The sequence below is a fragment of the Homo sapiens genome, chromosome 5 (genome assembly GCF_000001405.40).
Source record: "Homo sapiens chromosome 5, GRCh38.p14 Primary Assembly".
Classification (NCBI taxonomy): Eukaryota; Metazoa; Chordata; class Mammalia; order Primates; family Hominidae; genus Homo; species Homo sapiens.
Window position 1 is genome coordinate 133,581,092 of NC_000005.10, and position 18,988 is coordinate 133,600,079.

The 18,988-nt window shown below is 47.2% G+C and overlaps 1 protein-coding gene across 3 annotated transcripts in view, besides 2 other annotated features; it reads right to left on the bottom strand.

Annotated features, from left to right (window-relative positions):
- Positions 1 to 18,988, bottom strand: part of FSTL4 (follistatin like 4) — a 645,613-nt gene that overhangs the window by 384,637 nt on the left and 241,988 nt on the right. The gene's annotated exons all lie outside the window — the stretch shown is intronic.
- Positions 1,690 to 2,382: an enhancer, noted in NCBI's record as "H3K27ac-H3K4me1 hESC enhancer chr5:132918472-132919164 (GRCh37/hg19 assembly coordinates)". NCBI's record gives its function as "activates a minimal SCP1, AML or CMV promoter by ChIP-STARR-seq in primed H9 embryonic stem cells {active_cell/tissue: H9 hESC(primed)}" and the evidence as "EXISTENCE:reporter gene assay evidence [ECO:0000049][PMID:30033119]".
- Positions 2,383 to 3,074: an enhancer, noted in NCBI's record as "NANOG-H3K27ac-H3K4me1 hESC enhancer chr5:132919165-132919856 (GRCh37/hg19 assembly coordinates)". NCBI's record gives its function as "activates a minimal SCP1, AML or CMV promoter by ChIP-STARR-seq in naive H9 embryonic stem cells {active_cell/tissue: H9 hESC(naive)}" and the evidence as "EXISTENCE:reporter gene assay evidence [ECO:0000049][PMID:30033119]".

Sequence of the window (18,988 nt, forward strand, 5' to 3'; positions counted from 1 at the left end):
CTTTCATTGTACCACTATAACACTTATATTAAAAATGGAACTTAAAGTAGTTTAAATTAAATGAGTTATATTTAATTAAAAAGGCTTTAAGGCACAATAAGACCGTTTTTCAATTTTCTTTTACAACAGAGTCAAAAGGAAGAAAGGCCCCCAGTGGTCAGCAGAGCTAGATTGGTGTTTACTTAGGACCTGGCCCATCTGAGAATCCCAAGGAAAATCCAGTTTTATTCCCTGTCCTCTTTCTGTTCCTCACGTAGGATGCACCATGAACTTCAGTTTCCTCGTCTGAAGAGGAGATTGAAAGGTGCTACCTATAAGATTGTCGTGAGAAAGGAATGAGGGAGCATGCAGACGGCATGCAATGTCACTCCTCAAGTAGAGAAATACCTGCCCCACACGTGCCACATCAGGAATCACGCCAGCCTTAGCCACCCACACCTCCCAGGAGGGGCCTTGTGCCTGGGCAAAGGCACAGGGAAGCTTTGTCCCCTGCAGCCTGAATCAGTTATTTCCCTTGAGGAGTAGGTGCTGAGAAAGACAATGAGGACAGAAGTGGGCATTTTGCCCACACTTCTCTCATAGGCTAACCCAGCAGTTCTCAAATGGGGACATTTAAATAATCCAGAGTATAGGCCATACCCTAAACCAATTAAATCACAATCTCTGGGGGTGGGACACAGGCATCAGCATTTTTTGAAGCCACCCCAGTGGTTCTAATGTATGGACAAGTTTGGGAACCACTGGGTTAATCATGCATCTTAACACCTTACAAACTCTTGCCCCAGTGGGCCTGGCCAGTGCTCTGCACCATGGTGCCCAGCTGCCTCAGACAAACCTCTGCAGGTGCCAGTGGGCTGGCAGGGTTCTCCAATGAGGGTGCCCTGTTACTCCCACATATGGGGAAGGGTGTCCCTTCGTAACAGAGGGTATCAGCTGGGTGTCACAGGCACAGAAACTAATGTAAACAGTGGTGCCAGTTTCTCTTCCCAGCAAGTCAGTGGAGCCAGAGGATGGCTTGGGCAGGCCCACACTCGCCTTCCATGAGGACCGATGCCAGCTCAGTATCCAGAACTCACTGGATGCAGGTGGGAAGAGTAGGCTCAAGCAGCCAGGACTGAGAAGCCTCCTGGTGACATGGAGAATGGGGCCACTGGGCTTGCAGTGCACGAGACACAAAGGGGCTCACCTGCACCCCAGACCCCCGGCACTGGGTCACCATATACATGGCATTAACCTCCAGGAGCTTCAGTTTCCTCATCTGCAAAATGAGGTAGGGTAGTGTCTATGAGACTGCAGTGAGAGCTGAGAGAGGAGGGCAAAGAGCACTCAGTATCTGGTAGCTGCTGTCCACTTGCCAATTTCCACCCACAAACAGCATCCTGGTTGTGCCCCCAGCAATCAGCATAGCACCCAGCCTGAAAGAAGTGCTCATCATTGTTTCTGAGACTCTGGAGTGGGGAGGGGTCCACTAGTTCTACTGTGGTCAGTAGGCAACAGCTGGGAGACACAGGTTGGGGGAAAGGCATCTGTTGGTACAGTGTCAACCCATGGGCCATGGCCAACCCCTGTCAACACTGCTCCCTCACACCTCTTCTTCCTTCCATGCTAGGCTCTTACCCATGACTTTCTCTCAGCCTTTGGGGCTGCCCATTGGCTCATTTGTTCCAACCCACTTGAATGCCAGGATGCCTTCCACTTGGTCTTCTGCAGGTATAGATACCTCATCTGTCCTGGGCCCTGTATGTCCCTGGGCTATCCCTGTCCTGCCCTTTGAGATGCCCTCCTCTCCTCACTCATGGGCAGCTCTGACCACTCACTAGCCATGGCCATCCCATAGCGCAGGGGTGCTCATCCACCTAGATGAAAGGGGCATACTCTGAAGGAGCCACCACAGCTCAACCAATCTTTAGTACTCAGTGTGCCTGGGGGTGCCTGACACTTCCACCTCTAAGGAGGAGGCTGTCCCTCCATGGCAGCACCTCCAGCAGAAGTACATGAGCTTGCCTCTGGCCTCATCTCAGCAGCAGCCCTGCTGCTGTCTCCAGCGGCCAGTGGAAGAGTCAGCAAACACCAGCACATTCCCACTGGGTTTCCTGACCCTCCAAAAGCCCTTCACAGTAACCACAGTTGGTATCACAGTAACCAACTTGGCTGCCAATGCTGGGAATCTTACCTCCTCCTTAAGATCAAGGCCCCAGGAGGAGCCAAGATGGCCGAATAGGAACAGCTCCGGTCTACAGCTCCCAGCGTGAGCGACGCAGAAGACGGGTGATTTCTGCATTTCCATCTGAGGTACCGGGTTCATCTCACTAGGGAGTGCCAGACAGTGGGCGCAGGCCAGTGTGTGCGCACCGTGCGCGAGCCGAAGCAGGGCGAGGCATTGCCTCACCTGGGAAGCGCAAGGGGCCAGGGAGTTCCCTTTCCGAGTCAAAGAAAGGGGTGACGGACGCACCTGGAAAATCGGGTCACTCCCACCCGAATATTGCGCTTTTCAGACCGGCTTAAGAAACGGCGCACCACGAGACTATATCCCACACCTGGCTCAGAGGGTCCTACGCCCACGGAATCTCGCTGATTGCTAGCACAGCAGTCTGAGATCAAACTGCAAGGCGGCAACGAGGCTGGGGGAGGGGCGCCCGCCATTGCCCAGGCTTGCTTAGGTAAACAAAGCAGCCGGGAAGCTCGAACTGGGTGGAGCCCACCACAGCTCAAGGAGGCCTGCCTGCCTCTGTAGGCTCCACCTCTGGGGGCAGGGCACAGACAAACAAAAAGACAGCAGTAACCTCTGCAGACTTAAGTGTCCCTGTCTGACAGCTTTGAAGAGAGCAGTGGTTCTCCCAGCACGCAGCTGGAGATCTGAGAACGGGCAGACTGCCTCCTCAAGTGGGTCCCTGACCCCTGACCCCCGAGCAGCCTAACTGGGAGGCACACTGACACCTCACACGGCAGGGTATTCCAACAGACCTGCAGCTGAGGGTCCTGTCTGTTAGAAGGAAAACTAACAACCAGAAAGGACATCTACACCGAAAACCCATCTGTACATCACCATCATCAAAGACCAAAAGTAGATAAAACCACAAAGATGGGGAAAAAACAGAACAGAAAAACTGGAAACTCTAAAACGCAGAGCGCCTCTCCTCCTCCAAAGGAATGCAGTTCCTCACCAGCAACAGAACAAAGCTGGATGGAGAATGATTTTGACGAGCTGAGAGAAGAAGGCTTCAGACGATCAAATTACTCTGAGCTACGGGAGGACATTCAAACCAAAGGCAAAGAAGTTGAAAACTTTGAAAAAAATTTAGAAGAATGTATAACTAGAATAACCAATACAGAGAAGTGCTTAAAGGAGCTGATGGAGCTGAAAACCAAGGCTCGAGAACTACGTGAAGAATGCAGAAGCCTCAGGAGCCAATGCGATCAACTGGAAGAAAGGGTATCAGCAATGGAAGATGAAATGAATGAAATGAAGCGAGAAGGGAAGTTTAGAGAAAAAAGAATAAAAAGAAATGAGCAAAGCCTCCAAGAAATATGGGACTATGTGAAAAGACCAAATCTACGTCTGATTGGTGTACCTGAAAGTGATGTGGAGAATGGAACCAAGTTGGAAAACACTCTGCAGGATATTATCCAGGAGAACTTCCCCAATCTAGCAAGGCAGGCCAACGTTCAGATTCAGGAAATACAGAGAACGCCACAAAGATACTCCTCGAGAAGAGCAACTCCAAGACACATAATTGTCAGATTCACCAAAGTTGAAATGGAGGAAAAAATGTTAAGGGCAGCCAGAGAGAAAGGTCGGGTTACCCTCAAAGGGAAGCCCATCAGACTAACAGCGGATCTCTCGGCAGAAACCCTACAAGCCAGAAGAGAGTGGGGGCCAATATTCAACATTCTTAAAGAAAAGAATTTTCAACCCAGAATTTCATATCCAGCCAAACTAAGCTTCATAAGTGAAGGAGAAATAAAATACTTTATAGACAAGCAAATGCTGAGAGATTTTGTCACCACCAGGCCTGCCCTAAAAGAGCTCCTGAAGGAAGCGCTAAACCTGGAAAGGAACAACCAGTACCAGCCGCTGCAAAATCATGCCAAAATGTAAAGACCATCGAGACTAGGAAGAAACTGCATCAACTAATGAGCAAAATCACCAGCTAACATCATAATGACAGGATCAAATTCACACATAACAATATTAACTTTAAATATAAATGGACTAAATTCTGCAATTAAAAGACACAGACTGGCAAGTTGGATAAAGAGTCAAGACCCATCAGTGTGCTGTATTCAGGAAACCCATCTCACGTGCAGAGACACACATAGGCTCAAAATAAAAGGATGGAGGAAGATCTACCAAGCCAATGGAAAACAAAAAAAGGCAGGGGTTGCAATCCTAGTCTCTGATAAAACAGACTTTAAACCAACAAAGATCAAAAGAGACAAAGAAGGCCATTACATAATGGTAAAGGGATCAATTCAACAAGAGGAGCTAACTATCCTAAACATTTATGCACCCAATACAGGAGCACCCAGATTCATAAAGCAAGTCCTGAGTGACCTACAAAGAGACTTAGACTCCCACACATTAATAATGGGAGACTTTAACACCCCACTGTCAACATTAGACAGATCAACGAGACAGAAAGTCAACAAGGATACCCAGGAATTGAACTCAGCTCTGCACCAAGCAGACCTAATAGACATCTACAGAACTCTCCACCCCAAATCAACAGAATATACATTTTTTTCAGCACCACACCACACCTATTCCAAAATTGACCACATAGTTGGAAGTAAAGCTCTCCTCAGCAAATGTAAAAGAACAGAAATTATAACAAACTATCTCTCAGACCACAGTGCAATCAAACTAGAACTCAGGATTAAGAATCTCACTCAAAGCCGCTCAACTACATGGAAACTGAACAACCTGCTCCTGAATGACTACTGGGTACATAACGAAATGAAGGCAGAAATAAAGATGTTCTTTGAAACCAACGAGAACAAAGACACCACATACCAGAATCTCTGGGACGCATTCAAAGCAGTGTGTAGAGGGAAATTTATAGCACTAAATGCCTACAAGAGAAAGCAGGAAAGATCCAAAATTGACACCCTAACATCACAATTAAAAGAACTAGAAAAGCAAGAGTAAACACATTCAAAAGCTAGCAGAAGGCAAGACATAACTAAAATCAGAGCAGAACTGAAGGAAATAGAGACACAAAAAACCCTTCAAAAAATCAATGAATCCAGGAGCTGGTTTTTTGAAAGGATCAACAAAATTGATAGACCGCTAGCAAGACTAATAAAGAAAAAAAGAGAGAAGAATCAAATAGACACAATAAAAAATGATAAAGGGGATATCACCACCGATCCCACAGAAATACAAACTACCATCAGAGAATACTACAAACACCTCTACACAAATAAACTAGAAAATCTAGAAGAAATGGATACATTCCTCGACACATACACTCTCCCAAGACTAAACCAGGAAGAAGTTGAATCTCTGAATAGACCAATAACAGGATCTGAAATTGTGGCAATAATCAATAGTTTACCAACCAAAAAGAGTCCAGGACCAGATGGATTCACAGCCGAATTCTACCAGAGGTACAAGGAGGAACTGGTACCATTCCTTCTGAAACTATTCCAATCAATAGAAAAAGAGGGAATCCTCCCTAACTCATTTTATGAGGCCAGCATCATTCTGATACCAAAGCCGGGCAGAGACACAACCGAAAAAGAGAATTTTAGACCAATATCCTTGATGAACATTGATGCAAAAATCCTCAATAAAATACTGGCAAACCGAATCCAGCAGCACATCAAAAAGCTTATCCACCATGATCAAGTGGGCTTCATCCCTGGGATGCAAGGCTGGTTCAATATACGCAAATCAATAAATGTAATCCAGCATATAAACAGAGCCAAAGACAAAAACCACATGATTATCTCAATAGATGCAGAAAAAGCCTTTGACAAAATTCAACAACCCTTCATGCTAAAAACTCTCAATAAATTAGGTATTGATGGGATGTATTTCAAAATAATAAGAGCTATCTATGACAAACCCACAGCCAATATCATACTGAATGGGCAAAAACTGGAAGCATTCCCTTTGAAAACTGGCACAACACAGGGATGCCCTCTCTCACCGCTCCTATTCAACATAGTGTTGGAAGTTCTGGCCAGGGCAATCAGGCAGGAGAAGGAAATAAAGGGTATTCAATTAGGAAAAGAGGAAGTCAAATTGTCCCTGTTTGCAGACGACATGATTGTTTATCTAGAAAACCCCATCGTCTCAGCCCAAAATCTCCTTAAGCTGATAAGCAACTTCAGCAAAGTCTCAGGATACAAAATCAATGTACAAAAATCACAAGCATTCTTATACACCAACAACAGACAAACAGAGAGCCAAATCATGAGTGAACTCCCATTCACAATTGCTTCAAAGACAATAAAATACCTAGGAATCCAACTTACAAGGGATGTGAAGGACCTCTTCAAGGAGAACTACAAACCACTGCTCAAGGAAATAAAAGAGGACACAAACAAATGGAAGAACATTCCATGCTCATGGGTAGGAAGAATCAATATCGTGAAAATGGCCATACTGCCCAAGGTAATTTACAGATTCAATGCCATCCCCATCAAGCTACCAATGACTTTCTTCACAGAATTGGAAAAAACTACTTTAAAGTTCATATGGAACCAAAAAAGAGCCCGCATCGCCAAGTCAATCCTAAGCCAAAAGAACAAAGCTGGAGGCATCACACTACCTGACTTCAAACTATACTACAAGGCTACAGTAACCAAAACAGCATGGTACTGGTACCAAAACAGAGATATAGATCAATGGAACAGAACAGAGCCCTCAGAAATAATGCCGCATATCTACAACTATCTGATCTTTGACAAACCTGAGAAAAACAAGCAATGGGGAAAGGATTCCCTATTTAATAAATGGTGCTGGGAAAACTGGCTAGCCATATGTAGAAAGCTGAAACTGGATCCCTTCCTTACACCTTATACAAAAATCAATCCAAGATGGATTAAAGATTTAAACGTTAGACCTAAAACCATAAAAACCCTAGAAGAAAACCTAGGCATTACCTTTCAGGACATAGGCGTGGGCAAGGACTTCATGTCCAAAACACCAAAAGCAATGGCAACAAAAGCCAAAATTGACAAATGGGATCTAATTAAACTAAAGAGCTTCTGCACAGCAAAAGAAACTACCATGAGAGTGAACAGGCAACCTACAACATGGGAGAAAATTTTCGCAACCTACGCATCTGACAAAGGGCTAATATCCAGAATCTACAATGAACTCAAACAAATTTACAAGAAAAAAACAAACAACCCCATCAAAAAGTGGGCGAAGGACATGAACAGACACTTCTCAAAAGAAGACATTTATGCAGCCAAAAAACACATGAAGAAATGCTCATCATCACTGGCCATCAGAGAAATGCAAATCAAAACCACTATGAGATATCATCTCACACCAGTTAGAATGGCAATCATTAAAAAGTCAGGAAACAACAGGTGCTGGAGAGGATGTGGAGAAATAGGAACACTTTTACACTGTTGGTGGGACTGTAAACTAGTTCAACCATTGTGGAAGTCAGTGTGGCGATTCCTCAGGGATCTAGAACTAGAAATACCATTTGACCCAGCCATCCCATTACTGGGTATATACCCAAAGGACTATAAATCATGCTGCTATAAAGACACATGCACACGTATGTTTATTGCGGCACTATTCACAATAGCAAAGACTTGGAACCAACCCAAATGTCCAACAATGATAGACTGGATTAAGAAAATGTGGCACATATACACCATGGAATACTATACAGCCATAAAAAATGATGAGTTCATGTCCTTTGTAGGGACATGGATGAAATTGGAAACCATCATTCTCAGTAAACTATCGCAAGAACAAAAAACCAAACACCGCATATTCTCACTCATAGGTGGGAATTGAACAATGAGATCACATGGACACAGGAAGGGGAATATCACACTCTGGGGACTGTGGTGGGGTCGGGGGAGGGGGGAGGGATAGCATTGGGAGATATACCTAATGCTAGATGACACGTTAGTGGGTGCAGCGCACCAGCATGGCACATGTATACATATGTAACTAACCTGCACAATGTGCACATGTACCCTAAAACTTAGAGTATAATAAAAAAAAAAAAAAAGATCAAGGCCCCAGAACCTTGCTTCTGAAAGGGAGACTGCTGTGGTCAACCCTTAGGAACTTCCCAAGGCCAATTCTTAAAAGCAGAAACAGAGACCACCAAATATCACACACTTAGTCCTCCACCCACAGACACTGCCCTCACTGTCCCATGTGAGGGCAGTAGCTGCCAAGTCCCCAGTGGAATCCTGGAAGAAGTGCAAGGAAATAGCCAAAGGAATGTTAATATGTTAATTCTCAGAGGTTCAGTGGCTGCCTGATGGTGAAAGAAGAGAAATTGTTGGGGAGGAGGGGGAATAGGGGCAGAACTCATCTCTCCCCACAGAAGGTCAAGAGGCCACCCACCGCCCAGCCCCAGAAGACCACCTCAAACTCTGCTGCCCTCCAGGAGGAGGGGATGCCTCCTCTGATGTGACGTTGTCTGCTTTGGCCTTCCAAAGCTCAATGTCATCAAATGTCCTTTCCCTAGATTCAAAAATATGTCCTTGGGGATAAGAGCACAATACTGTGGTTAGGAATACATGCTAGATAGTCAGAAAGCCAGATGCAAACCCTGGCTCCACCACTTACTATATGGGAGATCTCAAACAGCTCACTTATCTTGAAGCCTCAATTTCTACATGTGTAAAATAAACAAATTAATAATACCTCATAGACTCTCTTTGAGAAGTCAATGAATTAATCTACTTAGTGCTTTGGCAAAATGAAAGCTGTTTATTAATTCTATCATATCAATAGCTATGGAATTAAGAAATTCATATTAGGAATGAGAATTCCTATTGGGAATCTCCTCTTTATTTATTTATTTATTTATTTATTTATTTGAGACACAGTCTTGCTCTGTCGCTCTGTCACCAGGCTAGAGTGCAGTGGCATGATCTTCCTCTTTATTCTTATAAGAGAAGGATAAGAGGAGCCATTCAGACTTCCAGCCCAGAGCTCCAGATGACACTGCCCCCTTTCATCCTCACCCTAGAGATGTCCCTGGTTCCCTAGCCCTCTCTAACTCTTGGCTACACAGAAAGAGATATCACAACAAAAACCAAATTTTTAATGCAATAAGACTTTGTATCTAGCTGGGAGCAAAGCTGAGATTCAGAACTGGGGAGGTGGGGAGTGCATCTATCTCATCTTGTCTTCCATGATGACAGGCCAAATTATCCCACAGCAGCTCAACTATTTTGCTTGCTGGATTTGGCAGGGTGGTGGACCTTCTAAGAAGAGGCATCTGGTCAAGCCATGACTCCCCTCCCATGTAACCCCTCTTTCTTTCCAAGAATGATTCCAGCTAAACCTCAAAGCAGCTGCACTAAGGAGCTCCCTACAGCCACAGGATATGTATCTCTGGAGTCACAGGGCCACAACTGAGCACCAAAGCCTGCTCCCCTTTAGTGAGTTTGATGGGTCAGGCGTGGACACAGGCTGCCTTAGTCCATTTTGTGCTGCTATAACAGAATACCTGAGACTGGGTACTTTATAATGAACAGAAATGTATTGGCTCACAGTTCTGGAGTCTGGGAAGTCCAAGATTGAGGGGCTGGCATTTTGCAAAGGCCTCCTTGCTGCATACTCCCATGGTGAAAGGTCAAAGACAGAGAGCAAGAGATCCAATTCCCAGTCTCAAGCCCTTCTGTAATCGGCATTCCTGAGGATGGAGCATGGAGCCTTCGTTACCTAAACACCCCCATTAGGCACCATCACCCAACTTGTGGCACTGGGGATTAAGTTTCCAACACATGCTTTTTGGGGAACACATTCCAACCATAGTACCCCAGGAGCCAAGGGCACTGGCACCAGGATGGAGGGGAGGACCAGGGTAGTGACTGGCAAAATGCAAGTCGGCCTGTGGAGGCCAAGCCTGTTTTACAGCCTGTCTGCAGGGACATCCTAGGAATGGATAAGTTGGGCTTCTGAGCTGCCCAGCCACAGACAGGCCGGGTTGGTGAGGTAGGGTATGGCGAGGGTGCTGACAAGACAGGGAGAGGAAGGCAGGCAAACAAAGCAGGGGAGCAAAGATTTAACAGCACAAGGCAGGCCTTACTGCCAGGGCCAACCCCTGCTCTGAAGATCCAAAAATGCAACTCCATAAAATGCCCCATGTTTATACAAACTTGGCTCACGTTTCTCTGTGTGCTTGCTGAGAGGTTTGAGGCTGGCTCTGCAGCCTCACCAACTGTCCTCCACCCACAATAACCTCCTGCCACTCCTTCACAAGAGCCACCCAGCGCTGCACCCACATCCTCCCCTCAGAGCCCCTGGAGGGCCCCTCACCCACTGGGACCTGCCTCCTGGCCACAGGCAAATGGATCTGGGAAGATATTTCCCCAAGCTGAGCCAATAAGGCTCTGCCCCTTGAGAACCTGAGGATACAGACAGAACTCAAATGAGACAGTCTGGGGCCCAGAGCTGCAGCAAGGGCTACACTCAGAGCTCTCTGGAAAGACCAGTCTCTGGAGAGAACAGGCAGAGGAGGGAGAAATGGAGAAGGGAGACAGTGTGGCTCAGAAGGGAGTTGGGAGACAGACTTCCAATGCCTCTAAGCCTGAGCCCATGAAGGCATCCTGCCATTGGCTTTGGGAGAAGGTCTGGGGCCTCATGACAACCCTTCTTTGTACATGAGCATGTTAGCAGGCGATTCTGCTCCTGGCCACCAAAGCGTCCCTGATGAATCCCCTGGCTCACAGACCCAGATACCCACCTTAACCAATCTGTTCCGTTTTCCCCTCCTGACAGATATGGCCCTATTCCACCCTACACCTAGACTCTGAGGGTTACTCCTCCTTAAATACTCTAATACTCTGCCCACCCAGATCCTGGTCTTCCTCTCCAAGTACCTCTGCCTCCAAGAGGTCCTTCCCAATCCCACCTTCCACCCAGCGCATTTCTGTGCTAAATTCTCACGTCACCCACGGTTTGGCCTGTGCTGCTAACTAAATATGCTTTGTGCTGCATTCGCCGCTCACCATTGTGCTCACCACATTCTTAAAGCTGTTTGTGATGATTCTTTCTTCTTTCTCATAATCCCACGGTGAGATATCAGATAAGAATTTCTTGTACAGTGCAGTTCATGATCATCTTTACTTGTAACACAAGAACAGTCATTTTGAATAAATTCAGATTTAAATTATATATACCATTCTCATCTGGAATGGATAACGAATCACAGATAATTTTGTTCTAGTCAGCATGGTCATAAAAGTGTTTCTGTTCCTAAGAATTACTGGACAACTGGTGCTATGGTTTGGATGTTTGTCCCCCGCCAAACCTAATGCCAAAATTTGACCCTCAGTGTTGGGGGTGAGGCCTAATGGAGGTGTCTGAGTCATGGAGTTGGATCCCTTAGGAGTGGCTTGGTGCCATCCTTGCAGCAATGAGTGAGTCCTACCCTACTAGTTCCCAAGAGAGCTGGCTTTTAAATAGAGCCTGGAACCTCTCACTCTCACCTTGCTTGCTCTGTTACCGTGTGATCTCTACACACACCCATTCCCTTTCACCTTCTACCAGGAGTGGAAGCTTCCTGAGGTCTCACCAGAAGCAGATTCTGGGGCCATGCTTCTTGTACAGCCTGCAGAGCCATGAGTCAAATAAACTTACTTTCTTTATAAATTACCAGACTCAGCTATTCCTTTATAGCAACACTAAATGGGCTAAGACAATTGGCCACAATCAATTGGACCAGGAAGGATACCTGGACCAAGGTGCAACTCTACAGCAAGGAATAAGACCTCCAATAGGACAGTTTTGGCCACCGGGGTGGTAGTGTCACATGCTGCAGTACCCTAAGCAAGATGAAGGACGACAGAGGAAGCTGGGAGTCTCTAAGTGTCACCCACATAGGATAGACACAGTGCTGAATGTGGCTGCCCTGTGGGTGTCCAGAACCTCAACAGCCCCTTTCTTCACCCTCTTTCAACACCACCCCTGGCCCTGAAACTTGTCCACCACTAATAATGAGCACCCACATCCTCTACACTGCCAGCCCAAGTCCTCTGAGGAGAGCTTAGGTGTCACTGAGCCAACAAGAACACAGCCATATCAGGTGGAACCACTTCAGGGGAGAGGTCCCAGAGCAGTACAGGCTCTGGTGGATAAGTTTTGGGAGGGAGTGTTGAAGGACGGTAAAGGAGGGGGCTGGTGGAGGTTCTGGACACCAGAGGGCTGCTGCATTCAGCACTATGTCCATCCTATGCAGGTGACACCTAGAGACTTCCGGCTTCCTCCAGCCCCCAACCCGCACTCTTAAGGACTTTAGAACAGCTGAGCCAGGGGCCAGGACAAACCTGTGATACCAGATCTGCTATCAGCCACATGCACCTGGACAGGGAATGTCTGGACTATGAGCACAAGTGTCCTGGGACCAGGCGTGGGGAATCCGGGAGGCAGATGGACTTCTTTCTTTATTAAGATGTACTTCTTTCTAATAAAGATGTACTTCCTTCTTTATTACTTAATAAATATGCCCACTTTTCTTTAGGCTAAAGTTGAGATCTTAATTTCGACATTATATACAGACTAGAAAAAGATCATTAACTAATGTAGGTGATTCCTTCTGCTAACTTGGAATCCATTCTGAAGCAGCTGATTGCTCCTACCTCCCACCCCCACCCCAATGGCCCTCAAGCCTCAAGGATAGAATCACAAATCCCATTTCTCTTCAACCACTTAGCCAGCCTTAGTACAGGGCCAGGCACACAGCTAGGTGCTCAGTGGGTGTCTGTTGATTACTAAGATTTAAGTCAACCAGATGTCCCGATTGGCCAAGCCAGCCCAGGGCTCAGAGACCCTCTAGGTAGGGATAAGAGAAAGTCAAATGGGAATTTCTGCTTCAGGACACAAAGATATGATCCTAAGCCATACTGCCAGGCATGAACACTCAAGCATGAAGCAGAGAAGCCTACTTTGTTTTTATTGAGACAGTCTCACTCTGTTGCCCAGGCTGGAGTGCAGTGGTATGATCTTGGCTCACTGCAACCTCCGCCTCCTGGGTTTAAGCGATTCTCCTGCCTCAGCCTCCCAAGTAGCTGGGATTACAGGTGTGTGCCACCATGCCCAGCTAATATTTTTGTATTTTTGGTAGAGACTGGGTTTCGCCATGTTGGCCAGGCTGGTCTCGGACTCCTGACCTCAGGTGATCTGACCGCCTTGGCCTCCCAAAGTGTTGGGATTACAGGCATGAGCTACTGCACCCGGCCAGAAGCCTGCTCTTCACTCTTCAAATGCTAATATGAGAACAGCAGTAACAACCAAACAGAAAATAGCAGAGGAAGAAGAGGAGGCACCATGGGGCATATTTTAGAGCCACTCTAATTAGAGTATCTGCCTGGCAGGCCTCTCCCGTTTGACACCTCCCAGCATCCCCACATGAAAGCCTACTTACCTGGAATGGACATTCAAAATGTGGCATCAGCAGAACCAACAGAAATTTGACATCTTTTCTATAGAGACCAAAGTTTTCAAGGACGTTTAAATGCAAGGCCAGAAAGAGAAATAAATGGAAAAAGAGTTCTGTTCTCTTTACTTAGAGAGCAAGCTTTAAATGATAGCAGAGCTCAAACAAGCTTTCAGTTCAATTGTCCTAAGACTGGCATTAAGGAAAGCCATCAGGAGTCTTATACCTACTTAATGACATTTTAAAAGAGTAGTTCTGCTCCTTTCTGCCCTCTGTGAGGATGGCTGGCAACCACCTACCCCGGAGCCACAGACTATTTCTACTGACCCTGAAAATTCTAAGCACAAACAAAGCATCCTGCATTTGTTTGACTTTACATTTCACTCTCTGGATTCATGGTTTTGGCAAGGGTCTGGCTGCCTGCCAGTGATGCTGGCCTCTGCAGAGGAAACAGTCAGAGCCAAGCAGGCCCTCAAAGCCATTCTAGGAAGGGGATGGCAACTGAGTCAGGGTCCCACCTGTTCCTACACACATCCCATACGATTCTCTGAAGCCTCTCCTGGTTCAAGAAGAAAGTTAAGAAGATTTGAAACTGATGGGATTCTATCAGATGTGGAAGCCCAAGGGAGTCCAGTGACTATCTCCTGGGATTTCTTATGTAAGGAGTCCCAAAACTCAAGACACCTTGTCCAAACCCCATACGATGACAAAAGGAATAGTAAAAGATGGCTGACTCGTTCACTTATTCAACAAATATCTGAACATCCTGCTGTGTGCCAGGCTTTCTGGACACTGAGGATATGGGGCCCAGTCCCAAGATATTTACCACTCCACTGGAAAGAGGACCCTCCCACTCTGAGGGCTGCCTTGCTACGTGATATGTGGCCATGGCCAGCAGTGACAAGAACTGCAGCAGCTGAAGTTGACACATCAGACTGTGGCTCAGGAAGGGCGCACAGTCTTCTTGACAGCCACTGACTGAGGTTCTGGGATGACAAACACAAAACCACAGCTCTGTCTGTTGTGTTCTGTGGAGGCAATCTGTGCCGGGCACCTCATGTACCATCTTAGTGCTCATGACAACCCTGAAAATGGTATTGTTATATTGCCTGTATTTCACTCGTGGCAAACCTAAAGGCTGGAGAGGGCGATTCCCTTAGCTCCAAAGCTGGCTAGGGAACAAACAGATTTTAGCCTCCGGGGCCCTCTGAGTTGAGGGTGCACTTGAAGCAAAGGCAGGGCCGGGGATGCCTTAGGCGGCAGCACAGGCAAGAGGCAAAGTGATTTAGCCCCAACAGGAAAAACCAATTGTGGGGTTTTAAAACAACAAACATCCTGGAGGAGAAAGTGGCAACATGAAACACACAAGGTGAGAGTTAACAGGGTTCTATGGTGGGGGAGGAGGACAGCAGCCATTTCTCCCAGGAGCCTAGAGAGCCGTGCACATCAGCCTGCCTATACCAGCAGCTAGCCCTGCCACCAGCCAAGCAGGCCACCAGAAGCACTGAGGACTTTCAGCCTGAGCAGGGGAAGAGACGTCCTCTGAAAAAGCAGGCCATGCTTCAGGGGCCCAGGCCCCTGGCTGGGGCTGAAGCGTGGGTTGTGCTGGAGGCGTCTGTCACCTCTGAGGCTAGGCCAACTCCCTCACAGGTGGGGAGGCGCTTCTGTCAGCTGCATCACAGACTCACTGGTGGTCTCACTGATTCTCTGGAAAGGGCTTTTGCAAGAAATAGAATATGACTTCCATTCTCAACTCTTAAAAAGAAAAATACACACAGTTTTCAATCTAGATCCCAAATAACACAAAACCTTAACCTTCAAAGTATTTTAACAAAAGCAACAATGGCAGCTTCCGTCTCCAGCTAAGCCCTCCAGAAGGGTTTCGATTTGCACCCAAGGCCCTCTTGGAACAAAGGAAGAAAAGCCAAGGGCTCAGTGTCTAGACACAACATCAAGCAGGTAGACAGGTGCTACCTTAGCCCGGTCCCACCGACCAAGGGAAGACAATGCTCTCAGAGTCTCCTAACCAAAGCAAGCACCAGCACCAGCTCTCCCAACCCCAACCCCTGTGCAAGATCAAACTGAAACTCACCCTGTGATTGAGGGAAGACCTCAGCCCCGCAGGCCACTCACACTCATTCTTCACCTCTGCCAAGAGCACACACTCCTGGCAGGAGTAAAACAAGGCTGATTTTTATTAGGAGGAAAGACATTGGGTTTCTCTTGTTCCAGACCTTCCTGACTGAAGGGAATGCCCCAAAGGATGGCTACCCATCAAGAGAGAGGCGAGGCTGGTGGACAGATGGCTTCTCAGCCACCTGGCCACACTTCCTCCCCCCAACACCAATGTGCCAGCACCCACCACAGTGTTCTCGGTGTCGCCTGCTCAGAGCACTGGGCCCATATCCTCCCACATCCTCCATGTCTAGTTCCAGTATGCTCCACCTCCCAGGTGGCTGGTGACAAGACAAAGCCCAGGAGCCAGTGGCAGAGACCACAGCCATGGAGGCAGAAGGACAATGGCTCTGGCTTGGCAGGCCTGAAGAGTAGAGCCCACTCATTGGGCCTTGTTAGAGCCTGCCTGACACAAGGACGACATTTACTTCCATCCAAATGGGAAGCAAAAGCAACAACCCACAGGGTGTAGGGGATAAATCAAGCAGATGATTGGGACTTGGCAGATCTGTGCTGCCAACTCCCCGAAAAATAGAAATTGGAGCCCCATTTACAATGCACAGCCTGATGTCTTCATTACAAGGGTGGGAAGTTTCCTACAGGAGTATAGATAATTTAGCAACAGAGGAATAAATAAAGTAGTTAGACAAGTAAATGCTAAATTAAGAGGAAGAAAAATAATGGGTTTCTGTGAACTCATAAATGCTCATTTTCCTGGGTCACAGAACTTTTCAGGGCCAATTAAAATTGTCAACTATGATCTCAAAATACCAAAGAGGCACACAGTGCACTAACTGGTACAGTGTGGAAGGGCTGGCTGGGAGCAGTGGAGAGGACACAAAGAACAAAGACAGTGACTTTCCCTGTTCAAGGATAAAGAGAAAAACAAGACTCCAAAACAGCTCACCAATGCAGCAATGCTCATCCCCAAAACAGGCTGGCTGGGCCTAGGGACAGAGATGGGATAGGACACCAGAAGGGGAGCCACGGTGGTAAGCAAGAAGTGAGTGCGCTGTTGGTCCTTGGAGCAGGGGGTGTGGGCTAAGCCTCAGCATTTAAAATCACCTCTTTCAGAATTTAAAACCACCTACAGACAAGCCAGGGAGGAGCCACGGGTTCCAAGAGTGAGAGTTACCTGTCCAGCTGCTTGAAAACAGGTGCAAATGACCCTAGAACCAAGGTTGTTTAAGTTCATCTTTCCCATCACCTACCTGCCCACTAAGCTAGTCTCATCAAGCTATTTTCCAGCATGACTGCAGCCTGCCCATTTCTCTCCTTTCCCTGACTGCAGTCAGCATCATGTCAGCAAGAACTAAAAAAAGGCCAGAGTCAATCCAACTGGGATTCTCCTTGTGTGTGTGCATGCGAGGAGGCAGGGGGCTCCTCTAAGGCTTTTCTTCCCAGTGTCCCCCAGGATCTGAAGTATCAGCATCACCTGGAGCTCAGAATCTTGGGACCCACCTCAGATTTGCTGCATTAGAATCTGCATTTTAACAAGATCCCAGACCGTTCACAAGCACATTGCATCTCAAGAGGTGCTGGCACAGGTTACAGCACACCCCATTCTGCAATTGGGAATGGGTTAATCCCAATGCCCCTGAGACCTTGGGAGGTTCTGCCACCATCATTTGCCTTGAAAATTATAAATGTACTGATAACGTCTATAGGTGGGAGGTTGTGCCCTCCCAGTTGTACCTGAAAAACGAATATCCACATCCTCTGACTCAGAATAATCAGCAGAAAGCCCTGGCTAAGTGTTAGGGGCCCAGAGAAGTGGCCCCCACATCAACCAGCACCGCACCTGCAGAGGAAGTTCTGGATCCTTTTGAAAGGAGTACGTGGTTCGGTTATCCCAGGGTCCACGGCCCTGGGGAGACCATTCTCGCCTCTTGCTGAGAGACCTTGCCCAGGGTCTCATCTTCTTTGAAAGCAAGTCAAGTACTAGAATTTGCAATGGTGAGTATCACAAGGGTGATGTGGCAGAAAAGCCATGAGAGATGCACACGTACTGTAGGTGAGGCTTAAGAAAATGCGAACGTCCAGCTTGGACCCCCGTTGGTTCACCGGGAAGAGGGAGTTCCTTTTATTTATGCCCACAAACCAGCTGAGGGCCAGGGTGAGTACAAACACCAACGGGCAGATCTCAAGCCCTACAGACGACCAGCTGTTCTTCCCCAGTAATCAGTCAAAGAGCACAGTCAGGGTTATGGGTGGTGGGGAGAATTTTATCAGAAAGGGTGGTTGGGGGTGAGGGACACTAGCGTTAAGACAATGAATACATAAGAACAGTGAAAGTGTTTTTGTAAAAATCAGTGCTCAGTCTTAGCAGCCCAAGTACTACTGAATGCCCAGCCAAGGCGGAACGAAGCCACGGAGCATCTAAGGGACTCTGCAATTTGAGGTTGCCATGCCTCGCGGGGACAGGAGTGTCATGCCTGCCATCAACACTTGTAGCAAGGGGAAGGGGCCGGTCAGTCAGGGTAGGATCAATGCTGTCTTAGGCTGACCCCTGAGGTTAGGGAGGCGGGGAATCATGTTTAAGTTAGCTGACACCACTCCACATATTTCTTCTGCAAAGACTTTACTTTGAGAGAATTTGCAAATACTGAAAACCCATGGTGTCTGAGCTCAAAACCTATCTCTGGTCTATAAGCACTGAGGCACATGAGGTGACAATTTAAGAAAGAATCAATATTAACATGTACAGGTATGTAGTACGTGACTATGTATATGCCATGGGTAAGAGTCGTTTAGAAAAAGTTCAGTAAAATGCATGAAAGACGTATAAGACCATGTAACGCCCACCATTCAATCTCAGAGCCCAGCAAATGGGTGAGATGCTGGTGCTGGAACACGACACCCAGGCCCCAAAAGTGGGAGGCTCCCACCATAGCACCCAGGCCCCAAAAATGGGGTGGCTCCAATGGCAGCACCCTAGCCCCAAAAGGGGAGGCTCCCGCCACAGCACCCAGGCTGCAAAAGTGGGGGGGCGGCCACTGCAGCACCCAGGCCCCAAAAGTGGGGGGCTCCCACAAATGCCTATTTCTCAAAAGCAGGTATGCTCTCTGGAGGCTGCTACCATATCACTTCTCACCCCTTCCTGGTTCCTTGGTTCCCCCTCAAATACAGAATTCTATCAATATTGATTTTACTACTATATTTATCTTGACCAGTGTACAGACAGTCCCTGACTTAGGTTTGGTTTGACTTAGGAT